This window comes from Homo sapiens, chromosome 1 (assembly GCF_000001405.40).
Source record: "Homo sapiens chromosome 1, GRCh38.p14 Primary Assembly".
NCBI classification, from domain to species: Eukaryota; Metazoa; Chordata; class Mammalia; order Primates; family Hominidae; genus Homo; species Homo sapiens.
The window spans coordinates 41,913,163-41,932,414 of record NC_000001.11 but is presented as its reverse complement, the minus strand read 5'-3'; the positions used below and the strand labels follow the sequence as shown (position 1 = coordinate 41,932,414).

At 40.8% G+C, this 19,252-nt stretch overlaps 1 protein-coding gene across 4 annotated transcripts in view, besides 2 other annotated features; it reads left to right on the top strand.

Moving 5' to 3' along the window:
• HIVEP3 (HIVEP zinc finger 3) overlaps positions 1-19,252 on the top strand; it is a 529,570-nt gene that overhangs the window by 103,520 nt on the left and 406,798 nt on the right. For 3 of the 4 annotated variants that reach the window (NR_038260.2, NM_001127714.3, NM_024503.5), the window contains exon 1: positions 13,493-14,002. The gene's annotated coding sequence lies outside the window, so the exon portion shown is untranslated. Of the gene's footprint in view, positions 1-13,492; positions 14,003-19,252 lie in introns of those variants that run through there. The other variant, NR_038261.2, reaches the window with a different exon arrangement.
• Positions 14,162-14,211: a silencer, noted in NCBI's record as "silent region_755". NCBI's record gives its function as "represses an Ori minimal core promoter by ATAC-STARR-seq in GM12878 lymphoblastoid cells {active_cell/tissue: GM12878}" and the evidence as "EXISTENCE:reporter gene assay evidence [ECO:0000049][PMID:35858748]".
• Positions 14,263-14,557: a silencer, noted in NCBI's record as "tiled region #8090; K562 Repressive non-DNase unmatched - State 20:ReprD". NCBI's record gives its function as "represses a minimal TATA promoter and a strong SV40 promoter by Sharpr-MPRA in K562 cells {active_cell/tissue: K562}" and the evidence as "EXISTENCE:reporter gene assay evidence [ECO:0000049][PMID:27701403]".

Here is a 19,252-nt window from a genome sequence, read left to right as displayed (position 1 = left end):
CAGACATACTAAAATTCATTCAAGAAGAAATATTATATCTTCAATAATCCCATATCTTCTAGGGAAATTGAAGTTATAGTTAAAAGCCTTCCAAAAACAAACAAACAAACAAAAAAACAAAACAAAAAAATGCAAGGCTAGTTCAACACTGGAAAAATCAACCAATGAAATTAAAATTAAATATATTTACAGAACCAAGGAAAAGAAAAACGATGATTATTTCAATAGATTTACAAAAAGCACTTTAAAAATTAATCATCTATTCATGATTAAAACTATCTGCAAACTATGAATAGAAGGCAATTTTCTTAACCTCAAAAAGGGCATCTACAAAAGGCTATAGCTAGCAACACACTTACTGGTGAAAAACTAAACACTTTCCCCTTAAGATAAAAAACAATGCAAGATGTTCTCTCTTATGACTCCTATCTGACTTCATATGGAAAGTCCTATAGTACAATAAGGCAAGAAAAAAAAAGGCAAAAAGATTTAAAAGGAAGAAAGGAAACAATGTCTTTTCACGTGTAACTTTATTGTCTTTGTAGAAAAACCCGAAGGATCATTAAAAAGTTTCTAGGACTAATAAGTGAGTTTAGTAAGGTTGCAAGATACAAAGTCAATTGTATTTCTTCATGCTAGCAATGAACATATGGACTTTGAAATTTAGAGAGCAATAGCCTTTTCAGTAGCACCGAAACCCACAAATTCTTAGATATAAATCTAACAAAAACAATATTCAGGATAGGTATGCTAAAATCTAGAAAATCCTGGTGAAAGCAATTAAAGAACAGTAAAATAAATACAGATACTGTATTCATGGATTGGAAGATGTCAGTTTGTCCCCATGAAAACAAATCTGAAAAAGCACAAAGTTGGAGGACTCAGACAGTACCCAATTTTGAGACTTGTTACAAAGTTATAATAATCAAGGAAGTGTAGTGTTGACAAAATGATAGATACAATAATCAGTGGAACAGAGTTGAGAGCCCAGAGGTAGACCCACACAAATATAATCACCTCATTTTTGACAAGGGTGAAGAAATGATAGTCTTTTCAACAAATGGTGTTGGAACAGTTGGATATCTATATGCAAGAAAGAAAATGAACCTCAACACTTACCTCACACCTTAAAAAACAACTGAGAAAAAGATCATAGATCTAAATGTAAAAGATGAAACTACAATACATCTAGAAAAAAAATCACAGGAGAAAATATGACCTTTGGTTTGGCAAAGAGTTTTTAGATACAACATTAAAAGCACAATCAATAAAAGAAACATTAATGAATTGAACTTGAAATAAAAATTTTGCTCTGTGAAAGACAATGTTAAGGGAATAAAAAGACAAGCCACAGATTGTGAGAAAATATTTGCAATCATATATGTAATGAAGGACTTGTATCCAGAATATATAAAGAACTTTCAAGCTTCAGCAAGAAAGTAAACAACTCTATAAAAAATGGGCAAAATATTTGAACATATGTTTTACCAAAGAAAGCATATGATGGCAAATAAGCATATGAAGAGACACTTAACATTATTTTTAATTAGGGAAATCAAAGTTAAAACCACAATGAACTATCATGCATATCAATTAGAATAGCTACAGTTAAGAAAAAACAAACCTGACAACACTAAGTGTGTGCTGGCAAGGATGCAGAGCCTCTGGAACTCTTTCATGTTCTTGTTAAGAATGCACAATGGTACAACCACTTTGCGAAGTAGTTTGGCAGTTTCTTATAAAATTAAAGATATACTTATTATATGACCCGGCAATCCCACTCCTTGGTATTTACTCAAGTTATTGAAATTTTGTGTTCACTTAGAAACCCATACATGAATATTTGTAACAACTCTACACATAAACACCCAAACTGGACACAACTGAGATGGTCTTCAACAGGCGAACAGAAGTGATATATCCATAAAATGGAACACTATTCATCTGTAAAAAGGCACAAGTATTAATTCATGCAACATCATGGATGAATCTTAAATCCATTTTGCGAAGTGAAAGAATCCAGACCCAAAAAGTTCATATTTTACTATTCCATAGGATACTTTAGAAAAGACAAAACTACATTTATGGAAAATGCATTGCCAGGGGTTGGGGTTTGGGTTGGAGTTGACTGCAAGGGAGCAACATGAGGTAACTTTGTGGCTGATGGAACTGCTTTATATGGCACAAAACTCTATGTATTTGTCAAACCCATAGATCTGTACACCATAAAGTGTAAATTTTGCCGTGTGCAAATTAAGAACAAAATCAATCAGGATACTGAGGAACCTAAGATGTAATGCAGAATATGACAAATGAATCTAACTGCATTGCACGTGTATAACATAAATTCATTGAAGATGATGAGGAAGAAGGGAGCTGACCTAAGTAACTTTGGAATTCTGTAAGGCTAAAGACAAAAATAACTGTACACAGACACTGTACTCTACATGATAAATTTGTCCTTCACAGGGGTATGTGTTAACCATTCTAAAACTATTTTACATATATACTAGGAATGAACAGATAAGCAAATATATTATTGATAATAAGACGCAGGTGTCTGTCTGAGAAAGAAGTTACTAATAAGCAAAGCAGAATGATGGAATGAATCCATGGTGTTTGATTAGAGTCAGAGGTATCAGTATTAACTCATGTTTAAACATATATATATATATATATATATATATAAAAACACATATACACACACTCACACATATACACTGATAGATACGGAAATATAGGTGTGTATTCATGGATAAATATACATACATATGTTTCCTAGCTCTGTCTACTGAGATGGCCTGTAGCACTGTAGCACTAAAAGCACTGACATCCCAGTAGCAGTGAGCACATCAGGTTCCCCAATCTTGGTCTCTAAATGCTATTATTTAATAAAAGGAGCCAGGACTTCTTGGAAACATAGGCTCCAGGACTGGGTAGGCAAACTACAAGATGAGCCTGGAGCATCTTCTGGTGCTAGAAAGTAAGAAAGTGCTGAACAACAACAACAACAATGGGAATATGCAGAGTACAGGAACCAACCTGAAAAAGCTCTTATTGGCCAAAGCTGGAACAATTTAGGTCAAAAAAATAAGTAAGGATATATTGGGTTATAACTGAAGGAATAAAATAACTATCCATGAGTCTGTTTTGATAAAAATAAAAGTTGAATACACTGATTATTTGATGGGGAAAAAGGACAGTTTTTCCTTACCAGAAGAATTCCAGTGAATAAATAGAGAGAAGTGGAGGAAATAGAAAATCACCCCTAGAACACTGCAGTCATAGTTGCTGCAGACAGTTCACCTGATAGCTGTTAAACTAATGGGTATAAGTTTGAGAAACATGGTGTGTGCATAGTCTCAAAGTATTTGAGACTCCCAATATTTATCAATTGCAAAGGGAAAAATAGTAATTTCATATTGGAGAAACCTGGCAGATACCACCTTAACCAAGGGATAATGTGAGGTCTCACTAAGTTGCTCAAGCAATCCTCCTGCCTCAGCCTCCCAAAGTTCTGGGATTACAGATGTGAGCCACCTCACCCAGCCAGTAAGACATATTAACAGCATGTCTCCCTTCCCCAGTTTGATGCACTGAGAAGGGTGCATCATTTCTGTGGCATTCTTGCCAAAACTCCACAATCCCAGTTTAATCACGAAAAAACATCAGACAAACCCAAATTGAGGGACTGTCTACAAAATACCTGCCAAGTACTCTTCAAAAGGGTCAAGGGCAAGAAAGACAAGGAAAGACTGAGGAATAGTCACAGAACAGAGGAGACCAAGGAGAAATGTCAACTAAATGCAATGTGGGATCCTGAATTGAATCCTGGAATGAAAAAGGACATCAGTGGAAAAACTGGTAACATTAGAGAAAATTCTGTAGGTCAATTAATACTATTGTACCAATCTCAATTTCCTAGTTTTAATAATTGTACTATGGTTATGTAAGATGTTTCTGTTAGTGAAAACTGGGTAAAGGGTGTATGGGAACTTGTACAATCTTTACAATTCCTCTATAAGTCTAAAATTATTTCAAAATAAAAAGAAAAAAAGTAGGGAGAGCATCTGATGAAGTAGCCCTGAAAGAAATAAATGAAGAATCCTCTGTGCTATAAGGGACACTTTAGACTGTGAGTGAGACTTGTGGAAGAACATTTTGCATACCACCTGGGCACTCCTGTAACCCACTGTAGTCTTTGGACTATAATTTGAGAATTACTGTAATAGGGTCATCTGACCCAACTCATTTAAAGACATCCTATTTTTAGGGATATTATTTAACTGTTTCTTAAAAATTGCTTTAAAAAGCAATACATGCTTTTACAAGCCTTTTTTTTTTTTTTTTTTTTGAGATGGAGTCTCGCCCTGTCACCCAGGCAGGAGTGTAATGCTGCAATCTCGGCTGACTGCAACCTCCGCCTCCTGGGTTCAAGCGATTCTCCTGCCTCAGCCTCCCGAGTAGCTGGGATTATAGGCACACGTCACCACGCCTGGCTAATTTTTTGTATCTTTAGTAGAGACGGGGTTTCACCATGTTGGCCAGGCTAGTCTTGAACTCCTGACTTCGTGATCTGCCCACCTCTGCCTCCCAAAGTGCTGGGACTATAGGCGTGAGCCACTGTGCCCTGCCTACAAGCCGTTTTTAAAAGATAATTCTTTTATCCTTCTAAGAGAGGTATGAAGTTTTTTTTCTCCTTGCTTTTGTGGACTGTGATTATCGGGGAGAAGGGTTGCAAACTGGTGGTCCATCTTCTGATTCCAATTGTTTTTAGCTACACAGCTTTCAGCTTTTTCATTTTTAAAAGGTAGATATGTAGAGAGGCATGAACACTCCAGTTCTCTTTTGCTTATGCCAAGCTACTTTGCACACTTACGTTATTTGATTGGCCCTGAAGGCACATAAGTTTTTTACCCTAGGTGAATGTAATAAATTACATGTGATTTGGGGTGTTTATTCACTATTCTCTAGTCATGACTTTAATGACTTTTTGATGACTTTGGTATGTTTGTCTTGCAGCATTTTTGGGTAGTCTATGGGTTGCCACAAGAGAACTCCACCCCACCCCCAAAACACACATACAGAGTTTGTTTAGCCAGAGTACACAAACTGACCAGGAGCCAGGTGGCCTGTCTCAGTGCAGGATTGGGTGGCTCCCAAGGGTGCCCAATTGGGAGATGTCAAATGGGTACCCAAAGGAGGATCTCACCAGATCAGAGAAACTCATTTGTGCTACACCACACTCCTTTTGTACTAGAAGCTTACAAGACTCAGGGAAATACTCCAATCACTTTGCTTAATACTTCCTAGAAGGGAATTCTTACCAACATCAGACTCTCCTGGTTCTTGAACCCAAACAGCCTGACAAGGCTACATCCTCGCCTGAGACAGAAAGCTGAGTCAGACTCCAGGAGCTGGTAGCTGAGCAGAGTCTCTGCCTCAAACTTTCTAGTGTGCTAGAAAGCTGAAACTCACAGTGGCTTATCAGGGTTGTCAGAGTTAGCCATGGAGCCTTAAAGATATACATATGCCAAGACCCTCCTGTAGCAACTTGGAAGCATCCATATTTTCCCTAAAACTCCATAGGGTTTTTGATACACAACCTCAAGTAGGACCTTCAGGCTGCAAGAAACTTTAGCTAACATACTTTAAAAATTTCTCTTAATATTCCTTTCTTTGTTCACAAATTTATGACTATTCCACTTAAGGCACTAATAGGGGTACTTAAGGCACTAAAACTTCACGATGGGGGAAGTTCCCAGCACAGTGACTGGAACATAGTAAGCTCTCCATAACTGCTCATCTCCTTCCTTTCCTCCTTCTACTTCATTTGGACCTTATTTTGATCTGCTATTTCCTTCCCCTACAAACTGAGGTCATAGCCTCCCCACTGCATTATACTTAATATTGATCAGGTGTTTTGATGAGCACTGTGTTTAGCTTGAGTGCCACAAATAAAGTGCCTTTTGAAGAATGATGTGAAATTACAAAGGATAGAAGCTAGTTTGAGTGACAGAATTAGATCCCAGATGTCAGGGCAAAATGATGGGCTGATTCGAATAATATGAAACATAATAGGGCTAAATGTAAGGTCTTGTAGTGGGGTCCAGGAAATTAACTGTGTGAGTGCAGGTCAGGGGAGGTGTGTGGCTTGGTAGCTGCAAATATAAAAAGTACGAGGGAGTTGAAAATGATAGTTGTATGGCTTAGGGCACAGATACAGTTGCTGTCACAAAGACCTAATAGAACAATGACTTCAATAAGCTAAACAATTATTTCCCTCTCACAGATTGAGAATAAACAGTATAGGGTGAAATGGCAGCACCAGGGATAGGATCCTTCTATCTCGTTGCTCTGCACCACTCATCCACATGGCTATCAGGTCCACATTTCAGCCAATGGCAAAAGGAAAAAGGAAGGGAAGCATGATCCTTCCCTTTAAGAGTATGGCTGGGAAATTATACATTTCACATCTGTTTACATCCCATTGGCTAGAACCTGTTCTTCTGGCCACACCTTCCTATAAGACAGGCTGGGAAATGTAGTCTTTGGCTGGGTAGCCATGTTCCTAGCTAAGAATTTTATTACTAAGAAGGGGAGAGGGGAATAGATACTGACAGAAACATTTGCAGCCTTACAGTTAAGACAGTATGTACAGTCATGCAATTTGATTGCCAAAAAGTTTTGGGCAATATTCTATTGCATTGATAAAAGAACAGTATCTGCCAGAACAGGAGTTGGCAAGCTTTTGCTGAAAGGACCAGATAGTGAATACACTTGACCCTTGAACAACATGAGCTTGAACTGTACGGGTCCACTATATGCAGATTTTCTTATGCCTCTGCCACCCCTGAGATACCAAGACCAACTCTTCCTCTTCTTCCTCCTCCTCAGCCTACTCAATGTGAAGACCACAAGGATGAAGACCTTTATGATGATTCACTTCCACTTAATAAACATTAAATATGTTTTCTCTTATGATTTTTCTTAATATTTTCTTTGCTCTAGCTTACTTGTCAGTATACAATATATAATACATATAATGTACAAAATATGTGTTGACTGTTTATGGTATCACTAAGGCTTCCAGTAGCAATAGGCTATTAGCAGTTAAGTTTTGGGGGAGTCAAAAGTTATACATGAATTTTTGACTGCATGAAAAGTCAGAGCCCCAACCCCTGAGTTGTTCAGGGTCAGTTGTATTTTAGGCTTTGCAAGCCACGTATAGTCTCTGTCATACATTCTTTTCTGTTTTTTGTTTGTTTTGTTTTGTTTTTACAATCCTTTAAAAATGTCAGATCCATTCTTGGCTTATGGGCTGTAAAAATTAGCCTGCACGAAGGGCTGTAGTTTGCAGACCTCTGTTCTAGAACAAGCATGGTGGTGAGTCTGGAGTCACATCTTATGATGCACAAGAATGTGTTCAGGGGAGGTGACCAAGTTAGGGAAGGGACTCCAGGTGAATTTCTAAGAACAATAATGATTGGAGGCATTGGTTACTTTTAGCCTAGAGAAGCTCAGACTCTTAATGACCTGATCAATGGCTTCAGATATTTGAAGGACATTCAGGTGGTTTGGAGATACCCTTGTTTTGTATGTACCCAAAGAGAAGAACAAAAATCAGTGAGAAAAAGCTCTGGAACAGAGACTACAGCTGCATAAGGACATTCTCATGATCACTTATCATTTATGGAACCTTTATTCCCAGGCATTGTTCTAAGCACTCTACATAGATGGTCTCACTTTATCGTCAACAACCCCAGTGGGTAGGTACCTTTCTTACCTCTACTTAATAGATGAGAAAAAGTCAGTGTTAGGAGGTTATATAACTTGCCCAAGGACATTTTGCTACTAAGTGGTAGGGCCGTAACAACTCCAACTCTCTACCATCTCCTTGCATGTGACTTGTGAGGTAAGATATATAAATAATTTAGCAGCACCAGGTACATAGTAAGTATTGTTGTTGGCAATAATAATAATGATAGTCCCTAGGAAGTACTATGTTTCTCATCATGGTGGTTGTAGTTTTCTATGGCTGCCATAACAAATGACCACAAACTCAGTTATTTAAAATAACCCATTTCTCTGCTTACAGTTTTAGAGGCCAGAAATCCAAAATCAAGGTATTGATAGGGCTATGCTCCCTCCGGAGGCTCAGGGGAGAATCCATTCCTACCTCTTTCTGCTCCTGGTGGCCTCTGGCATTCCTTGGCTTGTGGCTGCATCACTCCAATCTCAGCCGCTGTAGTCACGTTGCCCTCTAGCCCGTCTCCTACGTCAGTCCTATAAGGATACTTGTGATTTCATTTAGGGCCCTCCTGGATAATCCAGGATCTCTCCTCATCTCAAGATCATTAACGTAGTCACATCTTTTGCCATATAAGGTGAAATTCAGTTTCTAGGGATTAGGGGGTAGATATCTTTGGGGGCCAGTAATTAGCCTATCACAATGGTATCTAAGCATAGACTGGATGACCACATGCTTTTCTTTCCACTATTAGAAAAAAAAACTTCATAGAATTCTATGATTTACAGTATTGGTCAATCATAACACCTATCTTTCCCTTGTGGAATTTTTGTGTATGTGAAAATAGAATATTTTTAAAGCCTTATTTTATTTTTAATTGACAGATAACACTTGTATATATTTATGGGTACAATGTGATGTATCAATATATGCATAGTGTACATTATGGAATGACCAAATCAGGCTAATTAGCATATTAATCACCTCATATTTACCCTTTCTTTGTGGTGAGAACGTTTAAAATCTTCTCTTTTAGCTATTTTGAAATATACAGGACATTATTATTATTAACTGTAGTCACCATGCTGTACAGTAGGGCACCAGAACTTATTCCTCCTATATAACTGAAACTTTGTTCCCATTGGCCAATGTTGCTCCTTTCCCTTCCCCCCGCCACCTCCTCCAGCCTCTGGTACCACCATTCTACTCTCTACTCCTATGAGTTTGACTTTTTAAGATCCCACTTATAAGTAAGCTCACACAGTATTTGTTTCTCTGTGCCTGGCTTAATTCACTTAACATAATGTCCTCTAGGTTTATCCGTGTTTTCACAAATGGCAGAATTTCCTATATGAAAATAGAATATATTTTTAACAAGATATCAGTTAGAGGTAAAACTTATATTTTTTCAAATACATAGCCACAGTCCAACACTATTTATTGAATAACACATTCTTTCCTCCACTGATTTAAAATTCAGTTTTTATTACTTAACTACCATGTAGTAACCATTATAGCTAAATTTGTTTCTTGACTTCCATCAATCCACTTTGTAGGCTTCTTTATTTGTACTATACCATTTTGTTTACTGTAGCATTAAAGTATATATTTCTAACTGATGAATTGTCCTCCTTTATTATTCTTTGTGAATTTTTTTGATCAATGACTCTTTTACTGTTTTTGTTTTGTCATCATCTATTTCAACCTAAAAAAAATCCTTATTTTCATTTTAATGTGGTCTTGGGAAGAAGAGGAAACAGATGGAATTATTGGCCTGCCATAACAATCCTCTCTTTCTTTCCTTTTCTTTATCTCTCTCTTCCCTTCCTTCCTTTCCTTCCTTCCTTCCTTCCCTCCCTCCTTCCTTCTTCCTTTTTTAGTGATTTTTACCTGTTTCCATTGAGATTTTCTATTTTTTTGTTATAATTATATGGAAGTTTAATTCCAGACACATATATGTAAGAGATAGATATAGATGTGAATTCAAATCTGGAATAAATGTACTTATACTCTTATCTTTCAAGACTTCTAACAATTAAATTTTACAACTATATTCTCAATTATTTTTATATTTGACCACATATTTTGTTGGCTTTATTCATTACATTTTTTATATAACATATCTTCTCCTTTCTTGAATTTGTTATCCTGCCTTATTTGTTCCTCAGCTGGAAGAGATCTTCAAGTAACCTTAAATTTTTTTTAATAAAGGGTGTTTGGGTGATATAATTTCTGTGTCTTTGAACATACCTTTCTTTTTCATTGCATAAGAGAAATTATAGTTTGGCAGCTGGTAGAATTCTTAAATTGTAATAATGTTCCCTTAGAATTCTACAGAAATTATACCAGTGTCTTTTAGCATAGTGTTACAGATGAGAAGTATGGTATTAGTCTGATTTTCTTTCCTTTTAAGCAACCTGATTTTTCTCCTTTATGAGGAAGCTTGTCATTGTTTGTCTTTGCTCTTGGAGTATCAGAGTACATCTGGAAGTGTGTATTCTTTCAGTAGTCCTGCTGCCTAGCACAGCATTTGATCTAAGGCCTAAAGACTTTCTTCAGGTTAAGGAAATGTTCTTCTGTTATTTCCTTGATTATTGATTTCTTCTTCATTAATGATGCCTCCATCTGGAACTCCTATTAGGCTAATATTGATTGGATATTCTGGATCTCTCTGTTATATCTTATATTTTATCTGATTTTTTAAATCTCTTTTGTGTGCATGTGGTGTGTGTGTGTGTGGTGTGTGTGTGTGCGCACTTTTTGGGGAAGAGCAGTGGCATTTCAAAAGGAGCTGATATCCTGCCCCTATTCAACCTTTGGCTTCTATTATATTTGGAACAAACCTCTCACTTTCCAAAGAAGCTGTGGACCTATTTCTGTGTCCAGCCATTCTGTGTGGAGAAACTGACCATGTTCCTGATGTCCCTTAATTTGCCTTTAAACTGCTGCCTATGATTCTCCTCCAATCCTGATTCTCTGAGTTTGGGATTTTCCAAGACTGTTTTCTGGAAACCTGTACAGTTACTTCTTAGGGGTCTGTATTAGTCGGTTCTCACACTGCTAATAAAGACATACCTGAGACCAGGCAATTTATAAAGAAAAAGAGGTTTAATGGACTCACAGTTCCACATGGCTGGAGAAGCCACACAATCATGGCAGAGGTGAAGGAGGAGCAGAGGCACATCTTACATGGTGGCAGGCAAGAGAGCGTGTGCAAGGGAACTACCCTTTATAAAACCATCAGATCTCATGAGACTTATTCACTATCACAAGAACAGCATGAGAAAAACCTGCCTCCATGATTCAATTACCTCCCACCAGGTCCTTCCCATGACATGTGGGGATTATGGGAACTACAATTCAAGATGAGATTTGGGTGGGGACACAGCCAAACCATATCAGGGTCTTTGCAGAATCATGAGTTTATCAGTACTAATTAGTTTTTCCTCCCATGTCCCATCTACTTTGTATCTTCCCATATTATTCAAAATGTCTGCTTTATTGATGGCATCTTTCCCTGGTTCCCAGCATTGCCAGTGAATTTACCATTCCCCAAACCAAAAGCCCCCGTATGGAAATAGTGGAGAGTTCTGACACATCATATGGATAGATGGACCAAATGACCTTCCAGACTCATGTAACTCTGGGAGGCTTTTTCTTTAAAGCAGCATAATTAAAGGGTTGAGAAAAACTTTTACTGAAAAGGACAGAGAGATAGAGTTTAGTTTACTCAGGAGAACAGAATAAGGTGAGACTTAAATGGTGAGTCACACTAAGCCTGCTGAAGATACAGCAGGAGGGACTAAGATTAAATTACAGCTGAAGTGATTCATGTTGGTCACTACAAAGATCATTTAACCCTTAAAAAGTTGTGTGGCATCATGATACATTGCAAAGCCAAGTTACAAAGCCTCATTTTCTGGAGCTGTTCTCTTTAAAGGTAAGAGGATGGACTCGAATCACCTTCTGAATTATCGGACAGCCCTGTGACATGATTATACCTTGGTGCCTGAGATGTTAGATGGGAAATAAACAGCAGCATCTAGTAAACTCTCCTGGGGTAAAAAACAAAACAAAAAAAAAAAAACCATCTTGTTTTCACCCAGTCTTACTGATTTTTTTTTAGTGTGAAGACAGAATGTTTTTGTCAAAAACAAGTTCTCCAAATTTATAAACCTGATTGGAGACATCTTTAGTTTCTTCTCAAACATGCTGGGAAAATAGGAATGTCACTGAGACTCCTTCACCATCCCCTCGCAGCCCCTATTCCCCGGGGGGCTGGGTAGATGGAGAAGCAGGGGGCAGGGGCTGGACCAGGGAGAGAGTGACAGGCTCTCTGTGGTAGGTCTGTGCCTTGTCACAGAGCCTCCTGGGCTCAGGTCTGTGGTGGCCGCGGGAGAGCCAGCTCCACGCTGTGTGGCTGGTGACATTTCCGGCTGCCAGGGCCCAGCCAATCAGTGATGGACCCAGCTTGCTTGGGCGATGACACATGAAATATGATAATTTTCTGCCAAAGGGCCCTGGAAGAGGGGAAGGAAGAGAGTGTGTGTGTGTCGCTGGGAGGGGTCCACACAGGAGCGCCTGTGATGAGGTGGGAGGGTGACAGTGCACTTGTTTTCACGGTTTGCCTGGCAGGACTAGGCAAGGGAGGGAATGGGCTGTGATGCTGGAGCGGCTGTAGGAGCGCCCCTGTAGCTCCCGAGGTGAGCCACTGCCGCTGCTCTTAGGCGGGAACCAGCGGAGGAGCAGACAGCGCCATGCTGGAGCTCTGGGGCTGGGGTGAAAAAGAAACTGTCAAAGACATTTGCCTTCTTAACACACGTGAGCAAGGTTAGGACTCTTGTTTCTTCTCAGCGCTACCTCTTTAAAAGCCAGAACAAAACTGCAGTAAACACCATCTGGGTGGCTGAAGTACTCGAAGAATAATTTTTTTCAAAAAAATTTAGGCTGGAGGTTGTCTCTCCCCCTACCCTGTTTTTCTACCTCCATACCTCCATGCTGACCCTTAAAAGAAAAGTGAAAAACAAAACAACAGAACTCAATAACAAAATCTTGAAGAAGGGCCTAAGTCTGAATCGTAAAGACTCTAACTAAGGTTCAGGTGGTAGTTCTGATTCCTGATTCTGGTTGAAAGAAAGTATGTCTTGGAATGCGATGTGGCTCTGGATTATGTTCGACTTTAGAAATAGTGCCAGAACTATTCTTTGATTTGTGGACATGGACCCTGAGACTGCAGAGCAAGGCAGGGCAGGGCAAGGAGTGCCCGTGTTGAGCTCTCAGGTGCAGAGACCCCACTCCCTTCAGGCACTGTTGAGGCTCCCCGGCCCCTGATCTGCAGCCAGAGGCTGGTGAGGTGTGACACGCTTGCTGACAAGAGTGCCCTGTCTCGTCTGACCCGTGAACATGGGTGTTCAGAAGTGAAGGATCATAGTGTTTACATAACGTGCCAATTAGTACTGAGAAGCTCATCAGTGCAATAAATATTTATGACTTGCATTTGCATTTTTTCTCTCCACGTATATATATATAATATGTGTGCATATATATGTGCATATATATGCACATATATTATACATATATGTTGTTTTTTAAAAAGCACCAATAAATGAAATCCTTATCACTGTGTGCAAGCCTACTGTGCCTTTAGGCATGGGACTGGCTTCCTGCGCTGGGAGTGACAGCTATTCCGAAGTGATAATTGGTGTACTGTGTCTTTAAAAGGTTAAACCCCCTTTCAAAAAAGGTCTGGACTCCTAGTGGAAAAGACAAGCGAGGCATGGGTTGGCTCTGGATTCAGAAAACAGCTGCTGATTAGATTCTGTGTCTGCAGGCTGAATTTATTCCGTGTTTTTCAGCAGCACGAATTCAAGAGGGATGCTTCTGTTTGGGTTTCTGATCGTGATTTATATTTATTCAGAGGAATAACAGAGGGTGGATCTGTTCCCGGCGCGAGCATGCTCACAACCAGCCGACTCTCCCATTATCCAGCTGCCTAGTTTGGTGCTTCAATGTACATGGCTATTCCGTGTGCATATGTGTGTATACAAACACGCATGCATGCCTGGATGGACATACGTATGCACAGGTTATTTTTTAAGGACAATTCTTTCAATAAGGTCTTTACCCCTTACTTGAAACAGGTGTTCATGAAAAAAATGCACAAAATCCTGCCTGGCCGGAATAATTCATGAAGAAGGGGCTGGATCCGTGGGTCAGAGAACACAGGACCAGTTTGCCATCCCAAGGCCGAAGGTAGGGGACTCTGGGTTTTTATTCGGCGGATGGATTCCTTGCGCTGTATTTTACCTTGTGATTGTGTTTTTGCCTGAGGCCGCACCGCGAAGCAGAATAGCGAGCTGCGATTCCATTTTGTGTATGCCTTTCTTAGGCAAGGTGTCCGGCTGCCGAGACGCAGGGGCCGGCCGGGTGGGCTGCGCGTGGCGGCCAGTGCCCCCGGTGGGCTGAGCGCGCTGCTCGGCCTGGTGCTGGGGAGCGGCGCGAGCCTCAAGTGACCCCCGCGCGTCAATCACAGGCGGCGGCGGCGGCGGCGGCGGCGGGGCTGTAACCCTATGCGCGCCGTGCGCTCCAGCGCTGCTTGCAGCAGGCTCTGCTGGGCTCTGCACCCGCGCACTGGCGGCCGGCTCCATAGGAGCCTCGGCTGGGGGGCTTAGGCATCGCGTTCCGTGGCACCGGCGTTTTCTTGTGCTGCCTTGGCTGCTGCTCCGGATTGTTTAGGCGGACTGCAGTAGCCTGCTTGGTTGAGAGTGAGATTCGTATGATGCTGGCTGCTGAGACAGAGGGGATAGCTTTCTTTTTCCCCCTTAATCCTAGCCCCCTGAAAATATTCCTAAAGCAAAATCATTTCCCAACCCCCAACCTGACCCAACCAAACCCAAACCAAACTCCTATTCTATAGGGGATTCTTGCCTCCCTGCTAGCAGAGAGAGTGTCCCCTCCAAGTTATGCCCCACATTTTACTATCTTTTAAATGGAAACACTGATGGTGCCGAATGGTCCCTAATGATATTGTCCAGGCTGCTGAGGACTCCTGAGTGTGGCAGTGGTGCAGAGGAACTTGGAGGCTCGGCATTGGTTTCCTTTAACGTAGCTGGTTTGGTTTCTGTTGCAGGTCAGGAATATTTCTGTGGCTAGGCCCTTCCTTGAACTTCGGGGGCAGTGGTTGCAGGAAGAGGGTCTGCAGATCTGGTCGCTGGGTGAGCAGCACCCTGGCCCTCTTTCTGGTATACGCTGACGTTTCTGGTAGCCCTTGGCATTGTAACCACAGCAGCCAGGTGCCCACTGGCTACCTGGAGTGCTTCGGTTTTGTTAACTCTGGTGTGCATTTTGGGTGTTACGGGGGGAGGGAAGAGGAAAGAGGGAGAATGAGGTGTTTGCTGAACTGATCTGCATGGCAGTGTTCTCCAGCCCATGTTTGTGTGATTATGTAATGATCAGACGTGTGCCCAAACAGCTCCCCACCATCTCCTGGCTCTCCCCCAGACTGAAGAAGTTGGGTGCTACAGTTGTTTAAGACGTCTTTATGTAATTATGTGTATGCTGGGGGCAGGGAGAGAGTGGGGGCAAGGAGGAATAATTCTAGCAACTTAAATGTGAAGAATACAGGTCAGTGATCGTGTGTCCCTCTGAGGACAGTGTGGTATTAGCTCTGGGTCAGTGTTGATCTGAAGACCCTCCTGTGTCTCTTTCAGCCAGTAATTGCTTATCTGAACTTTCATTTGGTAATTTCACCCCTCTTGCACCCTGGAGACAGTTGGACCCAGGAGAAGGACCCCTGCAGGGCCTCCAGTTTCCCAATTCCAGGCAGAAAATGAATCCTGAAGCCAAGGTAATAGGCCAGGTCCCAGCTGTTCTTCATGGTCCTGCTGAGCAGCCAGTGTAGGGAGGAGTTCCTGTCCACTAGGGTGTCACTTGTGCTCTGGGGTTGGGCTATACTGTGGGGCTGAAGAATAGACCTCAGATGCCGTCTGAGCTGTTTGACATATGCTCTTTAAAGTTGTGATGGCTTGCAGAGGCTGGAGGCCCTTTACATAGTTGCATTTAAAGATTGTGGGAGTTTTTTGCAAGGAAGGTGGACAGCTGTCCAACTAAGACACCTGCAGGCAGGAGGAGAGGGTGGTGTGACACTTAGCTCTCTGCTTCCTCTCCACTCCATCTAGTTAAGGCACCCACAGGATACAGAATTGTTAACAGGGGCCCTCCTGTCACACCCCTGAGCGCCTCAGCCTGGGGCTGTTGGGCAGATTTGTTAATTTGATGGCAAAGTCTGGCCCCTTAAGGCTAAGATTGTTTTTTTGCCCTCAACACCCCAGTGGGTTTGCTTTGAGGGCCAACTACTACTGTGAACTCTGTGGCAGTGGATCAAGATGTGCTCAACTGGCACTATTGTTGAGCTGTCTCCGCCCATTGTGTTTAGTGGCAGCCACCCTCCTTGGAGTGGAGAAGTGTGTGCTGCCTTTGGGTCCTTGCCAAGTGAGCTGTTGAGACATTTAGTGTGTGAAAGGTACAGGCAAGAAGAAGATGCATTTAGTCTGAAGTCCTGGCAGGTTCTAGGACATGATTTGATGAAAGATAACATTAAGAAAGCTGTGTGACAACTGGATAGCATTTAACTTGTCTCTCACTCCCTACTCTGTGAATTCCCTAATGTCTTTAAGGCTCTTTTTTGCCCTCCATCCTGCCCATCAAGGAGTCCCTGACATGCTGTTCTCCATCCTGTTTCCTGTGGAGTCAAAGTGTATTTACAAATCTGCAGATGCACTAGGCGGGCAGGGCTGGAAAACACTGGCTGTATCAACAGGCAGCACTAGCATTCTGGGTCAGACTTGGCCAAAGCCCGTGACCAATTTTCTTCCTTATCTGTAAAGTAGGTGTAACCATCATAACCTTACCAAGACCACTGAACTATCTTGAGAAGAAAAATGAGATACGTTTAGTAACATGCTATGTAGTTGATAGGTATTAGGATAATACCACAACAATCTGGAACTCACATTTACATAATTTCACTTATCCAGTTGGGACCTAGATGGCAAATCAAGAGAAAGGTCATAAGTCCATGAGCTACAGTTTATGAATTTTGATCATTGGAGGAAATTTTATACCCTCTTTCAGGCCTCTGCATTTACTTCAAGTTTTAAGAGGCTTGGTTATTAGTTTGTCAAATGCACCTAGCAAATTGGAAGCAACTGATACTGTACTGTGCAAGGATTATTAAAGCTCTTTTATCAAGTATCAGTAAGAAGTAAGAGTAAAAAACAGAAAAACTAAAAAAAAATTTAAAAGGCACAAGAATTCAAGGCATGGAATTCTAAAGCTGATATGAGCATTTAATGTAAGCAATTCAGTGAAATTTTATGTATTTTGATGGATCTTTGGTACTCTGTTTTATAACATAGTAACTGATGCTCACAATGACCCACATGTATCCATAGAAGTTAAAATTATATTTTGTTCATCCAATTTAAAAAGACAGAGTTCTGAAGTATCCCCAAAAGATTTTTTTTTTTTGCATGATTCTTAGAGAAAAAACTGCAACTATCCATGATAATGGCACCTGTGAGGTTTCTGGATAGCCGGTGGCTTACTGGTCAAAATTATATTACAACTATAAAGCCCTGCTGTTGAAATTGAGAACTTTATGATCTTTTGTCAAAATTTATCAGGGAACTACTATGCTACTGTTATTATTAGTGGTTATGTTCTAACATTTAATACTAAAGAAAATATTCATGAACCTCAACCTGTCTTGTTATGATCAGGAAACACACTTAGAGTTGTTCCAACTTGATGACTTTAATTCTGGAGTTGGAAGAGACCTGGTGATGGAAAAGATGGAGCAGGAGAGGTAGACCCTACTGCTATCTGTTTCTTACATCTGTGTAGCAAATGTAGACTTACCACTACCCGGATGTTGTTCAAGCTGTCATGGCCACACCCTTATGGTAAGCAATGGTGTTTTTTCAGTTCAGACATCGTGCTGAAAACTGGAAGGTGGCTGAGATACACGAGCAGTGCCAAACTTGGCCTGACCCTCTGACAATGTGTTCAGTTAAAATTTGCTCCAAAACAAAGGCAAGAGGAAAAACAAAAGTAGAGGAAAATAAATGTAGACCCTTTTAAAATAGTATTTTAAAAATTCAATACATATGTGGAAAACGTGAGGACCTAACTAAAAGTCATGGAAGAGTATTTCTCAGTTTCTAGATGTACATACATTCATTGTTTTGGTAACTTACTTGAAAAAATTCTTTAACTAAAAGAAACTGTCAGTAACAGGTTATTGAATATAATCACAAATACTCAGAACTCTCCAAAGGTTCCCTGTATCTAATTGTAATATGATGGAGAAAAGGTATTCCCTGAAGTCCCAGAGGGCTTGGAAGGCAGAGGAGGTGAGGCATGGTGGTGGGAAGTGACTGAACCACACTATCCAGAGGACTGCCCTGTTGGGAGGTTTCACAGTTGGAAATATGTGCTTGGGAGGCAGGACAACAATGGAAGTGGTGAGTACATGACTGATGGGTCTCCCCTCCTCATTACTAAGTGTTTTTGAAATGCCAGGTGCAGCTGGAATTCTTGTGGATAAAGGGGGAAGCTTTATATCTAAATATGAAGTAGGGGTGATCTGAAAATGCCTTTCAGATTTGGGGAGCAAAGCCAGGGAGAAGTATAGGGAAGCTAGTCTCAGAAATCTTGAGATCTCTGAGCATCGGTGGACCCTTGAATTGGGGTTTAGGATCAACTTTTTAAACATGTGTTATGTATGAATAACTGAGATCCAAAGAAAAGCTAATAAACAAATAGTAGAAAGATATGGAAAAAATAAAAGCAGTGTTATAAACACACGATATGCTCCTCCGAATCTCAGTCACCAATTTTAGTCTATTGAGTCTTTCATTGGACTTCCAGGCTTAGCATTAGATGTTGAAACTATCTTAAGATCAGAGGAGCTGGATACAGTGGCTCATGCCTGTAATGCCAGCTGCTCAGGAGGCTGACACAGGAGGATCACTTGAGCCCAGGAGTTTGAGATCAGCCTGGGCGACATAGCAAGACCCTGTCTTAAAAAAAATAAAAATAAAATTATGGACATGGTGGCTCACACCTGTAATTCTAACTACTCAGGAGACAGAGGCGGGAGGATCTCTTGAGTCCAGGAGTTTGAGCCTGCCATGGGCTATGATCACATCACTGTACTCCAGCCTGGACAATAGAGCAAATATGTCTCTTAAAAACAAAAAGATCAGAGATGCCCTGATAAACATGAATTGATTGGATTTAAATAGAAGAAGAATTTTGAAATCCTCCTCCATCAAAATTCTACACAGTAGACGCTTGACATTTTCAGTGGATACATCTCAAGCCCTTGGCAAATCCCCAAGTTTGCAAATGCAGAAATATTTGCATAGGCTCTTGACTTCCTCCTGAATCAGGTTCCATTCCAGAGTGAAGAGGTTCCTATGACTATTCACAGGCTACCAA